Source organism: Homo sapiens, chromosome 7 (genome assembly GCF_000001405.40).
Source record: "Homo sapiens chromosome 7, GRCh38.p14 Primary Assembly".
NCBI classification, from domain to species: Eukaryota; Metazoa; Chordata; class Mammalia; order Primates; family Hominidae; genus Homo; species Homo sapiens.
The window spans coordinates 34,806,748-34,824,853 of NC_000007.14; the positions used below are offsets into that span (position 1 = coordinate 34,806,748).

Genomic DNA, 18,106 nt, shown 5'->3' on the forward strand with positions numbered 1-18,106 from the left:
GGAGTCATAGGGAAACCCTCTGTGTTGTTTGCAATTTTTTGTAAATATAAAATTGTTCTGAAAAATAAAGTCTATTTTCTTAAAGTCAGTCCAGGGATCCTCCTTTATATGAATACAATCTGGCATTTTGCTAAGTAAAATTTCTCTGTTTCCAGCATTTAAGTCTCACTTCTCTGTGCAAGATTTTCTTTAGTTTTATATTTCCTAGGTCATTTCTGTCAGAATTAAGGGGTGGGGTAGTGAGAATTCAGACATATGTCCTCAAGCTGCCATCTGTTCTCCAAATGGTATCCCATATGTTGTTGATGTGTAGAGTTTTCATTGTTGACATTTATGAATTGACTATAATTGTACTTTGATTTCCTTCTTGACTCGAGTTAATTATGAGGGTGTTTAAATTTCCAAGTGGTATTTTTTAAAAAAACATGTTACTAATTTCTGCTTCATTGCTCATTGTTTTAAATATGTGATTTGCGTAAGTCTTACTTTTTAGAGCTATTGAGAGGGTTTTTTTTCTTGGTAGTTTAGTATATCGCCAATTTTTGAAATGTCTAGATATTTTATAGCAATGTGTACTATTCTTATGTTATGAAGTCTATTTTTTTCTATCTGTATATTTTTGTTTATTCTTCTGTAAAACTTTGAACGGTTTCATTATATATTTAGCATTATGTTACTTGTTACATATAACTTTGTGAATATCCTATTGCCATCATGTGTTGTATCTTTTATCAATATAAATAATCCTTTATCACATGAAATGCTGTTTGCTTTGAATTTAATTTGTCTAATAGCAATGTTGTAATGAATGCCTTCTTTAATTTTTACTTTCTTGATATACCTTTGGCCATCCCTCTATTTCCACACTTAGATATCTAAGTGATGTGGTTTAAAATTTTTCTCTTTTAAACAGCATAGAATTAGATTTTAGGGAAGTTTTAAAATAAGTTATTTTCTTAATGAAAGACCTTAAGTCATTCACATGTATTGCGACAAATAGTGTTTTGGTTTGGTGTAATTTCAGTTCCTTATTTTAGTCTTTCTATATTAAGGGTTTTTTGTTTGTTTGTTGCTATTTACTTGTTTTTTCTTTTTATTTGATTATCAATTGTGGTAGGCTTGAAAAAAGCTCCCCGCCCCTACCCCCCACCACCACCACCACCACAAAATCCGTATCCTAATCCCTGGAACCTGTGATGTTACCTTATATAAGAAAAGGGAACTTCACAAATGTAATCAAATTAAAGATCTTAAAACTGGGAGATTATTCTGGTTTATCCCAGTGATTCCCACATGTAATCATAACAGGGTGGTAGAAGGGAGTGTGACACACAGACAGAAGAGGAAAAGGCAGAGCTTGGGCCGATATGGTCACACGCCAAGGACTGCTGGCAGTCACCCGAAGCCAGAAGAGGCAAGGGGCAGATTCTCCCCTAGAGTCTCTGGAGGACTCATGGGCTTGCCAAACTTTTATTTTTGCCCAGTAGAACTAATTTTGGACTTCTGGTCTCCAGAGCTGTGCGAGAATAAATTTATGTTGTTTTAAGCCATAAAGTTTGTAGTAGTTTGTTACAGCCACCATAGGAAACTAATTAAAATTTCTCCATTTTTATTTTACTCTATCATAGCTTATCTTTAACTTTTAGCTTTAATATATCTCTATCAAGGTTAAAAAACAAAAGAGAGACCCAAAATACATAACAAAATTGAACATGATGTCTTTCTTTGTACTCTGTCCCTTCACTCAACTCCCTTAAGTTTTTCCTGAAATGTTCCATAGTCATATTTATAATTATTTTGTAAGCATTTCATGTGTTTCTAACTTCATTGCTTACCATAGTTGTTATTATTCTATGCTCTTCCCTCTTCTTGAATTCTTAATTTTAATTCAATTCTCAATTAGCTGAAGTATGCCAGGAAGACTATAAAATATTATATTTTCTTCCTTCTTATATATCTGAGAAAACTGTTCTGTGCCTTGGCACAGAAATCATATTTACAAAGTTCTTGAATCACAATTTTTTTTCAAAACTCTGAACATGTTGTTATAGTGTTTTCTGGCATTACTTTTTGTGGGAAAGAGGTATGATAATTTAAGATGCATTTCTTTTAGGTAACTTTTAAATTTTTTTACCCTGCCTTAAATGCCTGAAGATGGTTAATCTCTGAAATTAAATACTCTTTTGATTGTATCTCAAAGTCAGCATCTTTTTATCAACATTGACTGCTCTTCTGGACACTCTTATTTATGGCTCTTCCTCCTGCTCCAGATTCTGAACTGTGCCTGTCACCTCCCTCAAGACAGCCACAGAGCCCCAAGATCCTTATAACCTCACCATGATGTTCCACTCCACAGGGTTCTGCCATTGTGTGCTTTCTTTTTCATCCTTCTCTGATGCCACCTCCTCCTCTGTTTGTTGCCAGCCTTAATAATTTTAAATTCATGGATCACAGGTAGAAACCCCAGTTTTGTCTAAGTAGACGATCGATTTTTTTTTTCTTAAAGCTAGTCTTCCATTTTTCTCTTTCTCTATTTGTCACCTTTTCCCAAGAGATAATTTTTTCTTTTAGTTTTCAGAGGAGCCTTCAATTTCTTTTTTTAAACCTTTTTTCTAACTTTTATTTTAAGTTGAGGGGTACATGTGCAGGTTTCTTATACAGGTAAACTTGTGTCATGGGGGTTTGTTGTACAGATTATTTAATCACCCAGGTATTTTTTTTTTTTTTTTTTTTTGAGACGGAGTCTCGCTCTGTCGCCCAGGCTGGAGTGCAGTGGCGCAATCTCGGCTCACTGCAAGCTCTGCCTCCCGGGTTCACGCCATTCTCCTGCCTCAGCCTCCCGAGTAGCTGGGACTACAGGCGCCCGCCACTACGCCCGGCTAATTTTTTGTATTTTTAGTAGAGACGGGGTTTCACCGTTTTAGCCGGGATGGTCTGGATCTCCTGACCTCGTGATCCACCCGCCTCGGCCTCCCAAAGTGCTGGGATTAAGCTTCATATTCATTAGTTATTTTTCCTGATCCTAACCCTCCTCCCACCCTACACCCTCCTATAGGCCCCAGTGTGTTTTGTTCCCCTCTATGTATCTGTGTGTTCTCATCAGTTAGCTTCCACTTATAAGTGAGAATATACAGTATTTTGTTTTCTGTTCTTGCATTAGTTTGCTGAAGATAATGCCCTCCATCCATGTCCATCCATGTCCCTGCAAAGCACATTATCTCATTCTTTCTTACGAGCCTTCAATTTCTAATCATTCCTCAGAACCTCCTCCCTATGGTGGCTTTCACAACATTAGTGCTGAGATGCATTTGTAGAAATAACAAATCATAAAGAACCACAATGTGCTTGATTGTTATTTGTCTGAGCCAGAGAAAGAACAAAAAGGCACGAATTCAGAACAAAGATAACTGCCAAGAAGAAAGTGAAGTAAATGCTCTCCATTAGACTTCAATCTACAAGTTACTCTTCTACTCCCTCTGGATTTGAACCTAATGTTACAAAGTGGAGATACAGCCAGACTCTTGATAGAAATGAGGCTCCAAGTTACCTGAAAAATGTCCACCTTGATCATCCCTTCAAATATATTTCATTTAATCACATTCTAAATATGCTCTTCACATAAGAGAAATTAACTTCTTAAATCCCAATTTCCCTTTCTGCTAATTATGCAAAAAAAGATTGTACACAGATAATTAAAAGGTGTGGGTAAAGTTAATAAAAGAGACAGTGGGAAGGAAGAGGAGACCCAGATCCTGAGCCTAATGAAGTGGATGAAAAAGGGGAGCTCTCTGATGGTGTCAGTGCTGATGATGATAAATGATTCAACACCGCACATAGGCTCCCTAAAACCGGAACCCTTCTATCATCTCTTGACTCCCACTGATAAAAAGCAAATGAACTTTTGTTTCTAATTATTCTGGAATGTCAATTGTGGCAGAAAAAATTAGTTTAGCTTTAAAAGTCAATTCCAAACAAATGTACCATGCAAATGTCAAGGACTGATCCTGAAATATGGAGTTTCCAAGAGGCCAAGGGAATAAGTGAGCAAGAAAGAACTGAAGCATTGTCACTCATCATGGCCAGCAGTACAAATTCTAGCACCAGGAACCAAACTCTGCTTCCTGGTGTGGAGATGAAAAGGGAGAGTTCCCTGGTCCATCCATCACAGGACATGGGACAGGGGTATGGCTCTCTGTTCAGCTTCCTCAAGCTCAAACTCCTTATAGGAGGGGGAGCATGCAGAAGGGTAGGTGCAGGAGCCAGGGCAAGTGCATTGAACTCCGGCCCCACAGTAGTGTCTGGGGTGGGTGCCTGTGACTCCTGAAGCCCCAGTGTTATAGTGCTGTTTTAACTCTGCCATCTGCAGATGGCTTAAGTGGTAACCAGCTCAGTGCCCTCTTGGTGGCCATGTCCTCGTCCATAGGCCAGGAAGAGTCAGGTCACACACAGACTTGAAGGATGAATGCAGGAGTTTTATTGAGTGGTGGAGGTGGTTCTCAGTGGGATGGATGGGGAACTGGAAGGGGGATGGAGTGGGAAGATGATCTTCCCCTGGAGTTTGGCTGTCCAGGGCCATTCTCCTGTCTGATTGTCCCCAGCTGAACTCTTCTTAGTGTTCAGACCCTCCTTCTCTTCTCTCCTTCTCTGCCATGCTGTTCTGCCATTCGTCTGCTCATCTCCTCCTGGAGCCTGGGATTTGGGGTTTATATGGGTACAGGATAGGGGCATGTAGCTGGCCAAAAGGCAACTTTTTGGGCACAAAAACAGGAATACCTGTTCTCATTTAAGACCACTGGTTTCCAGGCTTGAGGGTGGGGTCTTTGCTGGGAAACTGCCCTCTTTCACCCAGTATTTCCCTTTCTCTTGTCCATGTAAGAGAGTTATTTCCCTTCCTAATCCAACACTCACCCCTTCTTTGGTTCACCTCTCAGATTTCTAAATAACACAAGGTGCTATTCTTTCCATTATGTGCCTTCCCTCACCTCTCTGAAGTCATAAGCTTCCTCTCATTTCTGTCTTTAGGTTGTGCTGCTCTACGCCTCTACCTACGTCCTGGTGTCCCTCAGCATAGACAGATACCATGCCATCGTCTACCCCATGAAGTTCCTTCAAGGAGGTGAGCTGGCTTTACCAGGTGCTCTTTCATAAAGAACTGTCCTTGAGTGAGGGTAGGATCATTTTCACTAATATTTTACTCTTAATAATAGTGATCTTCCTCCTCTTTCCTTCTCTTTCTTCTCTCTTCATTCTCCTCTTCCACCTCTTTCCTCACTTCATGGGTCTGATTGTCTAAAAAGATGTACAAAAGAAAACTTAGATGCCTGGAAAAATGCCGATGGTTCCCATGGACAGCCCAGAGCCACTAAGGAAGGTGGGTGGCTGACCCACTTTGTGACCATTCAGCTTGATGCTGATGCTTCCATCTTTTTCCTCTAGAGCAGTGTTGACATGCATACCTGTCCAAAGAAATGAACTCTCCCACACTAACTTCTCATTTTCCAGAAACAAACACCTTGTTCTCCTTATCCAAAACCATAGAAATAATTGGAAAGATGTTTTTAATTGATCATCGTATTGGGAAAAAAAAATAAGGAAACTCTCTTTGATCCAGAAATGGTTAGGGATCCCTAAGAAAAGGAAGCAGATGGGTCAGAGGGAAGGCTGAGACCACACAGCCCACAAAACCCCTAGGAGATGCTGAAGTGGGATGGGAGGCCTTAGGAGCACTTCCTGAACAGGCTGCATCAATGTGGAGTGTAGGAGAGGACCCGAGGCAACTGACAAGGTGATTTCTGAAGTACAACACAGAGGATTAATCACAGCAAGTTTCCCTGGATTTGAAGAGGCAGAGAGGGGCCCTGGGGAGCAGTAATGCCCTAGAGGAAGGGTGAGTACATATTCACAAGACTAGCTGCCTACTGCTCTGCCCACAATCAGAGACCACTCTCCTCCATACACCCTGAAAGCAAATACAAAGCCATTGTTTAGCAACCTGTTCTCCCTTCCTCCAGATAACTTCGAAAACTGATAAAGAACCTAACAAAAAATCTTGACCACAAAAATGAGTGCAATCAAATATTATTTAAAAAGTGACAAAATCCAAACTGTAGAAAACAGATAATACCTTTAAAATCTCATTCCACACAATTTGGATCTAGGGAAGCAAATTTAATAGAAGTAGCAGAATTTTAGGATAAATATAATTAACGTCATCAAGGATCTACAAGAAGTGGAGTGAAATAGGGTAATTTCATTTACTATTGACAGGGGTATAAGTAAACACATCTTATTGAAATATAAAATGTGCAGCCCTTTGATATGACTTCTTGGTATCTGCTCTGGAGAAACACCCACACGTGTGCATGTATACATATGTGATGTATATTGTGGCACTGCCTACAATAGCAGGAATTCATCGCTAACCTTGGTGTGTCTCAGTGGAGGAATGGCTAACTAGTCTATGGAAGAAGTTTCAGTACCTTCTGTTTATTGATTGCATACTAGGTGTCATTCATGATTCTAACTGATTCATACATATTAAATATTTTAATATTCATAATATCTCTGTGAGGTGGGCTCTATTATTATCTGCATTTTACAGGTAAGGCAATCGTTGTTCCAAGAGTGAAAGTAATTTGCCCAAGGTCACAGCTAGTAAGTGCAGGAACAGGATTTGAACCCACACAGTCTGGGTCTAGCTCCAGCGCCCTCAAATGCTATATAGCCTGCCTCTCAATGTGGAAGTGGTAGAGCCATGGGCAGTAATATGCATCAACATGAACATATCCATATTGTATGCTGAGTGACAAAAACAATATGCACAAAAATCCATGTGAACGATAACATTAAAGTCAAAAACTCAAAACAATGCTAGATATTGTGTACAGAAAGACAGAGAGGAGCAGAAAGAGAGAACACACAAAAGAAAACTCCAGGAAAAATAAAAAACTATTTGCAAAAACACACAAAACTTGACATTTGACCTCACTTCTAGTTATGGGAGTTAGACCAGTGGTGTGACCACCACAGGAACTTATATGCAAGGTGGTAATTTTTACATGAAGAACATATCAATGTGTTGTGTGCAATTAAAATGAATTTATTTTGATCATGCTTGTTATGCCTACTGTACAGCATAAGACATATGAGTAAAAATACTAAATTGTATACTTAAGAATTTGCTGGGGATCTGTTCCAAGATGGCCAAATAGGAACAGCTCTGGTCTGCAGCTCCCAGCATGATCGATGCAGAAGACAGGTGATTTCTGCATTTCCAACTGAGGTGCCTGGTTCATCTCACTGGGACTGGTTGGACAGTGGGTGCAGCCCATGGAGGGTGAGCCAAAGCAGGGCAGGGCATCGCCTCACCTGGGGAGCACAAAGGGTTGGGGGATGTCCCTTTCCTAGCCAAGGGAAGCTGGGGCACACTGTACCTGGGACACTCCTGCCAAATACTGCACTTTTCCCAAGGATTTAGAAACGAGCAGACAAGGAGATTCTCTCCCATGCCTGGCTCAGGAGGTCTGGAGCCTTGCTCACTGCTAGCACAGCAGTCTGAAATTGAACTGTGAGGCAGCAGCCTGGCTAGGGGAGGAGCGTCCACCATTGCTGAGGCATGAGTAGGTAAACAAAGTGGCCCGGCAGCTCAAACTGGGTGGAGCCCACTGCAGCTCAGCAAGGCCTACTGCCTCTATAGGCTCCACCTCTGTGGGCAGGACATAGCTGAACAAAAGGCAGCAGACAGCTTCTGCAGACTTAAACGTCCCTGTTCGACAGCTCTGAAGAGCACAGTGGTTCTTCCAGCATGGCGTTTGAGCTCTGAGAATGGACAGACTGCCTCCTCAAGTGGGTCCCTGACACCTGTGTATGCTAACTGGGAGACATCTCCCAGTAGGGGCCAACAGACACCTCATATAGGTGGGTGCCCCTCTGGGACAAAGCTTCCAGAGGAAGGATCAGGCAGCAATGTTTGCTGTTCTGCAATATTTGCTGTTCACAGCCTCTGCTAGTGATACCCAGGCAAACAGGGTCTGGAGTGGATCTCCAGTAAACTCCAACAGACCTGCAGCTGAGGGACCTGACTGTTACAACGGAAACTAACAAACAGAAAGGAATAGCACCAACATCAACAAAAAGGACATCTACACCAAAACCCCATCTGTAGGTCACCAATATCAAAGACCAAAGGTAGATAAAACCACAAAGATGGGGAGAAACCAGAGCGGAAAAGCTGAAAATTCTAAAAATCAGAGCGCCTCTTCTCCTCCAAAGGACTGCAACTCCCCGCCAGCAATGGAACAAAGCTGGATAGAGAATGACTTTGACGAGTTGACAGAAGTAGGCTTCAGAAGGTCGGTAATAACAAACTACTCCTCCGAGCTAAAGGAGCATGTTCAAACCCATTGCAAGGAAGCTAAAAACCTTGAAAAATGGTTAGACGAATGGCTAAATAGAATAAACAGTGTAGAGAAGACCTTAAATGACCTGAAGGAGCTGAAAACCATGGCACAAGAACTTCGTGAGGCATGCACAAGCTTCAATAGCCAATTCAATCAAGTGGAAGAAAGGGTGTCAGTGATTGAAGATCAAATTAATGAAATAAAGCGAGAAGACATGGTTAGAGAAAAAAGATTAAAAAGAAACAAACAAAGCCTCCAAGAAATATGGTACTATGTGAAAAGACCAAATCTACATTTGATTAGTGTACCTGAAACTGATGGGGCGAACAGAACCAAGTTGGAACACACTCTTCATGATATTATCCAGAACTTGCCCAAAATAGCAAGGCAGGCCAACACTCAAATTCAGGAAATACAGAGAACACCACAAAGATACTCCTCGAGAATAGCAACCCCAAGACATGTAGTCAGATTCACCAAGGTTAAAATGAAGGAAAAAATGTTAACGGCAGCCAGAGAGAAAGGTCAGGTTACCCACAAAGGGAAGCCCATCAGACTAACAGCAGATCTCTTGGCAGAAACCCTACAAGCCAGAAGACAGTGGGGGCCAATATTCAACATTCTTAAAGAGAAGAATTTTCAATCCAGAATTCCATATCCAGCCAAACTAAGTTTCATAAGTGAAGGAGAAATAAAATCCTTTACAGAAAAACAAATGCTGAGAGATTTTGTCACCACCAGGCCTGCCTTACAAGAGCTCCTGAAGGAAGCACTAAATATGGAAAGGAACAACCAGTACCAGCCACTACAAAAACATGCCAAATTGTAAAGACCATTGATGCTAGGAAGAAACTGCATCAACTAACGGGCAAAATAACCAGCTAACATCATAATGATAGGATCAAATTCACATATAACAATATTAACCTTAAATGTAAATGGGCTAAATGCTCCAATTAAAAGACACACACTGGCAAATTGGATAAAGAGTCAGGACCCATCAGTGTGCTGTATTCAGGAGACTCATCTCATGTGCAGAGATACACATAGGCTCAAAATAAAGGGATGGAGGAAGATCTACCAAGAAAATGGAAAGCAAAAAAAAGCAGGGGTTGCAATCCTAGTGTCTGATAAAATAGACTTTAAACCAACAAAGATCAAAAGAGTCAAAGAAGGCCACTGCATAATGGTAAAGGGATCAATTCAACAAGAAGAGCCAACTATCCTAAATATATATGCACCCAACACAGGAGCACCCAGATTCATAAAGCAAGTCCTTAGAGACCTACAGAGAGACTTAGACTCCAACACAATAATAATGGGAGACTTTAACACCCCACTGTCAATATTAGACAGATCAACGAGACAGAAGGTTAACAAGGATATTCAGGACTTGAACTCAGCTCAGCACCAAGCAGACTTAATAGACATCTACAGAACTCTTCACCCCAAAACAACAGAATATACATTCTTTTCAGCACCGCATTGCACTTATTCCAAAATTGACTACATAATTGGAAGTAAAGCACTCCTCAGCAAGTGTAAAAGAACAGCAATCACAACAAACTGTCTCTCAGACCACAGTGCTATCAAATTAGACCTCAGGATTAAGAAACTCACTCAAAACCGCACAACTACATGGAAACTGAATAACCTGCTCCTGAATGACTACTGGGTACATAGTGAAATGAAGGCAGAAATAAAGATGTTCTTTGAAACCAATAAGAACAAAGACACTATGTACCAGATTCTCTGGGACACATTTAAAGTAGTGTGTAGAGGGAAATTTATAGCACTAAATGCCCACAAGAGAAAGCAGGAGAGATCTAAAATTGACACCCTAACATCACAATTAAAAGAACTAGAGAAGCAAGAGCAAACAAATTCAAAAGCTAGCAGAAGGCAAGAAATAACTAAGATCAGAGCAGAACTGAAGGAGATAGAGACACAAAAACCCTTCGAAAAGTCAATGAATCCAGGAGCTGGTTTTCTGAAAAGATCAACAAAATTGATAGACTGCTAGCAAGACTAATAAAGAAGAAAAGAGGGAAGAATCAAATAGATGCAATAAAAAATAATAATGTGGATATCACTACCAATCCCGCAGAAATACAAACTACCATCAGAGAATACTATAAACACCTCCATGCAAATAAACTAGAAAATCTAGAAGAAATGGATAAATTCCTGGACACATACACCCTCCCAAGACTAAACCAGGAAGAAGTTGAATCTCTGAATAGACCATTAACAGGCTCCAAAATTGAGGCAATAATTAATAGGCTACCAACCAAAAAAAGTCCAGGACCAGACCAATTCACAACTGAATTCTACCAAAGGTACAAAGAGGAGTTGGTACCATTCCTTCTGAAACTATTCCAATCAATAGAAAAAGAGGGAATCCTCCCTAACTCATTTTATAAGGCCAGCATCATCCTGATACCAAAGCCTGGCAGAGACAAAACAAAAAAAAGAGAATTTTAGACCAATATCCTTGATGAACATCGATGTGAAAATCCTCAATAAAGTACTGGCAAACTGAATCCTGCAGCACATCAAAAAGCTTATCCACCATGATCAAGTCGGCTTCATCCCCGGGATGGAAGGCTGGTTCAACATATGCAAATTGATAAACGTAATCCATCACATAAACAGAACCAATGACAAAAATCACATGATTATCTCAATAGATACAAAAAAGGCCTTCAACAAAATCCAACGCCCTTCATGCTAAAAACTGTCAATAAACTAGGTATTGATTGAACATATCTCAAAATAATAAGAGCTATTTATGACAAACTCACATCCAATATCATACTGAATGGGCAAAAACTGGAAGCATTCCCTTTGAAAACCGGCACAAGACAAGGATGCCCTCTCTCACCACTCCTATTCAACATAGTGTTGGAAGTTCTGGCCAGGGCAATCAGGCAAAAGGAAGCAATAAAGCGTATTCAATTAGGAAAAGAAGAAGTCAAATTGTCCCTATTTGTAGACCACATGATTGTATATTTAGAAAACCCCATTGTCTCAGCCCAAAATCTCCTTAAGCTGATAAGCAACTTCACCAAAGTCTCAGGATACAAAATCAATGCGCAAAAATCACAAGCATTCCTATACATGAATAAGAGACAAACAGAGAGCCAAATCATGAGTGAATTCCCATTCACAATTGCTACAAAGAGAATAAAATACCTAAGAATCCAACTTACAAGGGATGTGAAGGACCTTTTCAAGGAGAACTACAAACCACTGCGCAAGGAAATAAAAGAGGACACAAACAAATGGAAGAACATTCCATGCTCATGGATAGGAAGAATCCATATAGTGAAAATGGCCATACTGCCCAAGGTATTTTATAGATTCAGTGCCATCCCCATCAAGCTACCAATGACTTTCTTCACAGAATTGGAAAAAACTACTTTAAAGTTCATATGGAGCCATAAAAGAGCCTGCATTGCCAAGACAATCCTAAGCAAAAAGAACAAAGCTGGAGACATCAAGCTACCTGACTTCAAACTGTAGTACAAGGCCACAGTAACCAAAACAGCAAGGTACTTGTACCAAAACAGAGATATAGACCAATGGAACAGAACAGAGCCCTCAGACATAACACCACACTTCTACAACCATCTGATCTTTGACAAACCTGACAAAAACAAGAAATGGGGAAACGATTCCCTATTTAATAAATGGTGCTGGGAAACCTGGCTAGCCATATGGAGAAAGCTGACACTGGATCCCTTCCTTACACCTTATACGAAAATTAACTCAAGATGGATTAAAGACTTAAATGTTAAACCTAAAACCATAAAAACCCTAGAAGAAAACCTAGGCAATACCATTCAGGACATAGGCATGGGCAAAGACTTCATGACTAAAACACCAAAAGCAATGGCAACAAAAGCCAAAATTGACAAATGGGATCTAATTAAACTAAAGAGCTTCTGCACAGCAAAAGAAACTACCATCAGAGTGAATGGGCAGCCTACAGAATGGGAGAAAATTTTTGCAATCTACCCATCTGAAAAGGGCTAATATCCAGAATCTACAAAGAACTCAAACAAATTTACAAGAGAAAAAACAACCCCATCAAAAAGTGGGCAAAGGATATGAACAGACACTTCTGAAAAGAAGACATCTATGCAGCCAACAGACACATGAAAAAATGCTCATCATCACTGATCATCAGAGAAATGCAAATCAAAACCACAATGAAAAACCATCTCATGCCAGTTAGAATAGTGACCATTAAAAAGTCAGGAAACAACAGGTGCTGGAGAGGATGTGGAGAAATAGGAACACTTTTACACTGTTGGTGGGAGTGTACATTAGTTCAACCATTGTGGAACACAGTGTGGCGATTCCTCAAGGATCTAGAACTAGAAATACTATTTGACCCAGCAATCTTATTACTGGTATATACCCAAAGGATTATAAATCATGCTACTATAAAGACACATGCACACGTATGTTTATTGCTATTGCAGCACTATTCACAATAGCAAAGACTTGGAACCAACCCAAATGTCCATCAATGATAGACTGGATTAAGAAAATATGGCACATATACACCATGGAATACTATGCAGCCATAAAAAAGGATGAGTTTGTGTCCTTTGCAGGGACATGGATGAAGCTAGAAACCATCATTCTCAGCAAACTGTCACAAAGACAGAAAACCAAACACTGCATGTTCTCACTCATAGGTGGGAACTGAACAACGAAAACACTTGGACGCAGGGTGGGGAACATCAGACACCGGGGCCTGTCAGGGAGTGAGGGGCTGGGGGAGGGATAGCGTTAGCAGAAATAGCTAATGTAAATGACAAGTTGATGGGTGCAGCAAACCAACATGGCACATGTATACCTATGTATCCAACCTGCACATTGTTCACATGTACAATGATAATTTAAAAAAAAGAATTTGCTAACAAGATAAACCTTATGTTAAGTGCTCTTGCCACAAAAGGAAAAAACTAAACAAAACAATACTAAAGGGGGACAGGAAGAAGCCTTTGGAGGTGATGGATACATTTATGGCATTGCTTGTAATGATGGTTACAGGAATGTATACATATCTCCAGACACATTAAGTGGTATGCATTGGATATGTATAGCTTTTTATATGCCAATTATACATCAATAAAGTGGTTTAGAAGTTAATTTTAAAAATAGAAAATATACTTGTTTCCTGGGTTTCTTCTCGGTCATTTGGTGTGTCTGTTTTGTGAAGGGTTGAGACCTGTACCAAGTTTTCTGGGCACTGTAAAGCCCTAGTTATTATGATAGGGGAGGCAGGAAATTGATGAGGCAGGGGAGATAGGAGAGACATTTCGTGACATAGGTATGCAAAAATGTGTCAATGAAGCATCAAATTCTGTAAAATATTTGTAGAGATTTATTCTGAGTGAAATATCAGTGACAATGGACAAAGCCCTCAGGAGGTCATGAGAATATGTGCCCAAGGTGGTCAGGGTGCAGCTTGGTTTTATACATTTTAGGGCGACATGAACCTTCAATCAAACACATTTAAGAAATACATAGGGTTGGTCCGAAATGGCAGGGTTGGGTAGTGGGGGATGGGGTGGGCGAAGCTTCCAGATTATAGTTAGATTTAAATTTTTTCTGGTTGACAATTGGTTGAGTTTATCTAAAGACCTGGGATCAACAAAAAGGAATGTCTGAGTTAAGACAAAGAATTGTGGAGACCAAACTTCTTATTTGCAGGGGAAACTTTTAGGTTTCCTCTTCAGGGAGACTATGTTGTAAAATGTTTCTCATCAGACTTAAAGTCTGTGTTGATGTTAACGCTGGAGAGGTATAATGAGACACACCTGAACCCGCACTGCCCATCATGGCTTGGAACAGCCTCTCAGGTTAAATCTTAAAAGAGCCTTGGCTGAGGAGGAAATCCATTCGGAAGGTTGGGGGGCCTTATAACTTTATTTTTGGTTTACATTCATGGATTTGTGATACACTTTTTTTTTTTTTTTTTTTTTTTTTTAGACAGAGTCTCACTCTGTCGCCCGGGCTAGAGCGCAGTGGCGCGATCTCAGCTCACTGCAACTTCTGCCTCCCAGGTTCAAGTGATTCTTGTGCCTCAGCCTCCCGAGTAGCTGGGATTACAGGTGTGCATCACCACGCCTAATTTTTGTATTTTAGTAGAGATGGGGTTTCACCGTGTTGGCCAGGCTGGTCTCAAACTCCTGGGCTCAAGCAATCCACCTTGGCCTTCCAAAGTGCTGGGATTATAGGCATGAGACACTGCACCTGGCCCGTGATACACTTATTTATCCATCTATTTGTTTATGCCTAGCCGACTTTAGAAAGGGTTGAATGTGGTGGACAAAAGGACATCGACGCCAAAGTATTTTAAGGTGAAGAAATATAAGTGAAGGAAAAATAAGTATAGGAAATTGCAGGAGGGAAGTCCCAGGAAACTTGTTAGAGGTACAGACTTGAGACCCATAGCCAGAGGGTGACATGATGAATTACATGTTTCACCATATTCACTAGGTTAAAAAATTAGCTGTTTGCTCGTGGAAAATATGTCTAGTTCTGGGAGACACTGTGTAATATCATCAAGAGTGTCCTAAATTATCAGAAAGGCAGCAATTAATATTATAGTGCTTTTCTAAAGATGTAAAACAACTTATTCCCTCACTACAAAATTAAGAGAGGCTCAACATAAGGTGCTTGGAAAATCCTCATCATCAGTAGCTTCTGGGAAAGATGAAAGCTTAGAAACACATTAGCCAGCTGCCTTCCTCTGCCCAGGCCCAACGAAAGTCACTGAAGAAATCTAAAAACAGGGGGAGACCTGCATCTGGAATGAGAGCCAAGGAAAGAAGCCATCCAAATACCAGAAACTTCTAAGAATTCCCAGCACACGAGGGAGCAGATGAAACACGGAAGCCAAGTGTATAATGTATAATTCAGCCCCCGGGAGAACTCCCTGGCCTTGTAGAGGATGAACTGATACTCACAAGTTTATAGGGTGAGGGCAGCCGGTGAGAACGCGACACGAGAGGTTCCAGGAAGCCCAACGCGGGAGTCATTTTAGTACCGCAGCTTGTCAGAATTTAAGGGCAGCTGAGAGGCAGGGTTCGGAGTTTATGCGGCTCAGCTGAGAGAAAGCCGTAGAAAGAAGAGATTCCCCGAGAGTGGCAGGGCTCTCTGGGAGAGTCATGGAGCAGGGAGAAACCAGGAGGGAGTCAAATGTAGCTGTGCAGGCACAAGGCAATGGCCGCTTAACTGAGGGGAGGCCATATTTTATTTATTTTTTACTGCTATTTACTGAAGCAGTATTTTTCTTAGCCAGCAACTCCAGAAAAGTTGACAATTTTAAAGGTCTTCACCAAAAATGAATATGAGAATAATTAGAAAAATATCAAAATAATAAAGAGAAATATGCAGTGTTATATTAAAATGTAATATAAAACTTTGATAATTAAAACAATGCTGGAACCAGAATAACACATATAAATCATACAAAATTTCAAATCAGTTGGCAAAAAATGAATTAGTATACGGTGTTGAAATAGCTGTCTGGCCTTTTTTCAGAATATTAGATCACCACCCACCATAGCTAATAACAAAGTAAATTTTAGTTGGATTGAAAAAATTAACACTTCAAACATAAAAGGAGTAAAAGAATATTTGGGTAACACCTTCATAATTTCAGTGAAGGAAAGGCCTTTCCAGGAACCATATCAAAAGCAGAAGCAAGAAGGAAAATATAGTTTTTTACTACATAAAAATTTAAATTATTTATGTAAATAATAAATATCCATAAACAAACTTAAAAAGCAAAATTATAAATGGAAAATATTTTTATGTAACAGGCAAAGAAAAATATCCTTTTTATAAAGAAGTCTGGCAAAGAAATAAAAACATTCTAATTGAGTAAATGGGCAAAGGGCATGAACAGACTAACAAGAAACAAAGAAACATAAATGAGACCAGGCGCTGTGGCCCACGCCGGTAATCCCAGCACTTCGGGAGGCTGAGGTGGGTGGATCACTTGAGGTCACAAGTTTGAGACCAGCCTGGCCAACATAGTGAAACCCTGTCTCTACTAAAAAAATACAAAAATTAGCTGGGCATGGTGGCATGCACCTGTAATCCCGCTACTCAAGAGGCTGAGGCACAAGAATCGCTTGAACCTGGGAAGCGGAGGTTGCGGTGAGTGGAGATGGCACCACTGCACTCTAGCCCTCTAGCATTGGCAACAGAGCAAGACTTCACCAGAAAAAAAAAAAAAAAAACAACACCATAAATGAATAGAAAATGTATAGAAATATTCATTTTGACTACTAATTAAAGAATTGCAAAATTGAACATTTGGATACAAAATTTTACCAACCACATAACAAGATTAAAAGGAAGAATTATCCAACTATTAGGAGAGTATAAGGAAATTGGTACTTTTGTTGTTACAGTGAGAGCCATAAATAGTAGGCACTTTTGAGGGAAATGTAACAATATTTGTCAAAATTTATAAATCTTCTGTTTCTAAGAGTTTATCCTAAGGAATAACAAGAACTGAGAAAAATAGATGAATATAAATTATTTATAATAAAAAATGGAAAACAACTTAGATAATAATCGGCTATTGATAAAATTGGAGTACAGTATAACCACCGGAAAAAATGTTATTTATCAGTGCTTTTCCAATTGCACTTCCCACAGTGACCCCCAGAGGGCTCATTTTGCTGGCCTGCTCCAGGGCAGATCTGGGAGCTGCTGGCTGTCTCAGTTTCAACCAAAGATACCTGAGCTTTCAACACTTTCCTATACTGGGTTCGAGATAAAATTATATTTGAAGAAAGGATCTTACTACCTGAAAAAAAATGCCACTTGTACAAGTTCATATTTCTTAACAGGAAAAGATGGTCATAACAGGCTTTTCAGAGGAAAAAAATTAGGTTACAAGGTAGGATCTGTATCATGATCTCATTTCTAAATGTGTAATCTATGTATTATATATGCATGCGTTATCAAAATTTAAGCTTGACGTTTCTGGTTGGTGCCACTATGGATTTTTTTCCTTTTCGCTTATTTTTATTTGCTAGTGTTTCTATAATCAATGTGTGTAACTTATACGATTTTATAAAAAGGTAAATGAGTTACATGGAAAAGAGGAAGGCTAAGCGGCAGAGAAGTACAGAAATGGACAAGAGCACATGGAAGAGGGAGTCTGACTTTCCGGGGGTGAGAAACATGAGACAGTCTACCTTATATGCAAACCTGCATTTCATCTGTTCGATCCTGGATCCTTCAGCCCTGAGAAGTCACTCTTCATGGCAAATGGGCTCAGCTGCCTGGAAGGCCATCAGTCTCCCTGCTGTGGCAGCTGCGTCACAGCCTAAGAGAGTGGGGCTTTCACAGTGTAGCCCCAGCACCAGTAAGAGAAAAACAGCTCCAAGCCTATACCCTGCTGGGCCTTTGGGGAAACATCTTCGGAGACCTTGGTAGAATTGATTCTAAAGTATGATTCTATACTCTCTTCCCTGTCCATCCCTCTCAAAAGTGAATGCACTGTTCATCCATCAAGTGGAAACTTTGTGGGGCCCAGGAGTCACACGTTGCCCTTAAGAGTGCCCTGGAACCTATAGAAGAAGATGACATTAGAATTCTAACCATTGAAAGAACAAGAGCACAGGGGGCAGCTACTAATGTCACCCAGGACCATAGAAACCCAT

The 18,106-nt window shown here is 40.1% G+C and overlaps 1 protein-coding gene and 1 long non-coding RNA gene across 6 annotated transcripts in view; one reads left to right on the forward strand and one right to left on the reverse strand.

The window, feature by feature from the left end:
* The window catches only part of NPSR1-AS1 (NPSR1 antisense RNA 1), a 487,820-nt gene that overhangs the window by 460,236 nt on the left and 9,478 nt on the right, over nt 1-18,106 (reverse strand). The gene's annotated exons all lie outside the window — the stretch shown is intronic.
* NPSR1 (neuropeptide S receptor 1) overlaps nt 1-18,106 on the forward strand; it is a 220,115-nt gene that overhangs the window by 148,530 nt on the left and 53,479 nt on the right. For 4 of the 5 annotated variants that reach the window (NM_207173.2, NM_001300933.2, NM_001300935.2 and 1 more), the window contains exon 4: nt 5,023-5,116. The exons of the other annotated variant lie outside the window; for it this stretch is intronic. In NM_207173.2, coding sequence (NP_997056.1) covers nt 5,023-5,116 — 94 coding nt within the window. The remainder of the gene's footprint in view (nt 1-5,022; nt 5,117-18,106) is intronic. 5 annotated transcript variants of the gene reach the window in all.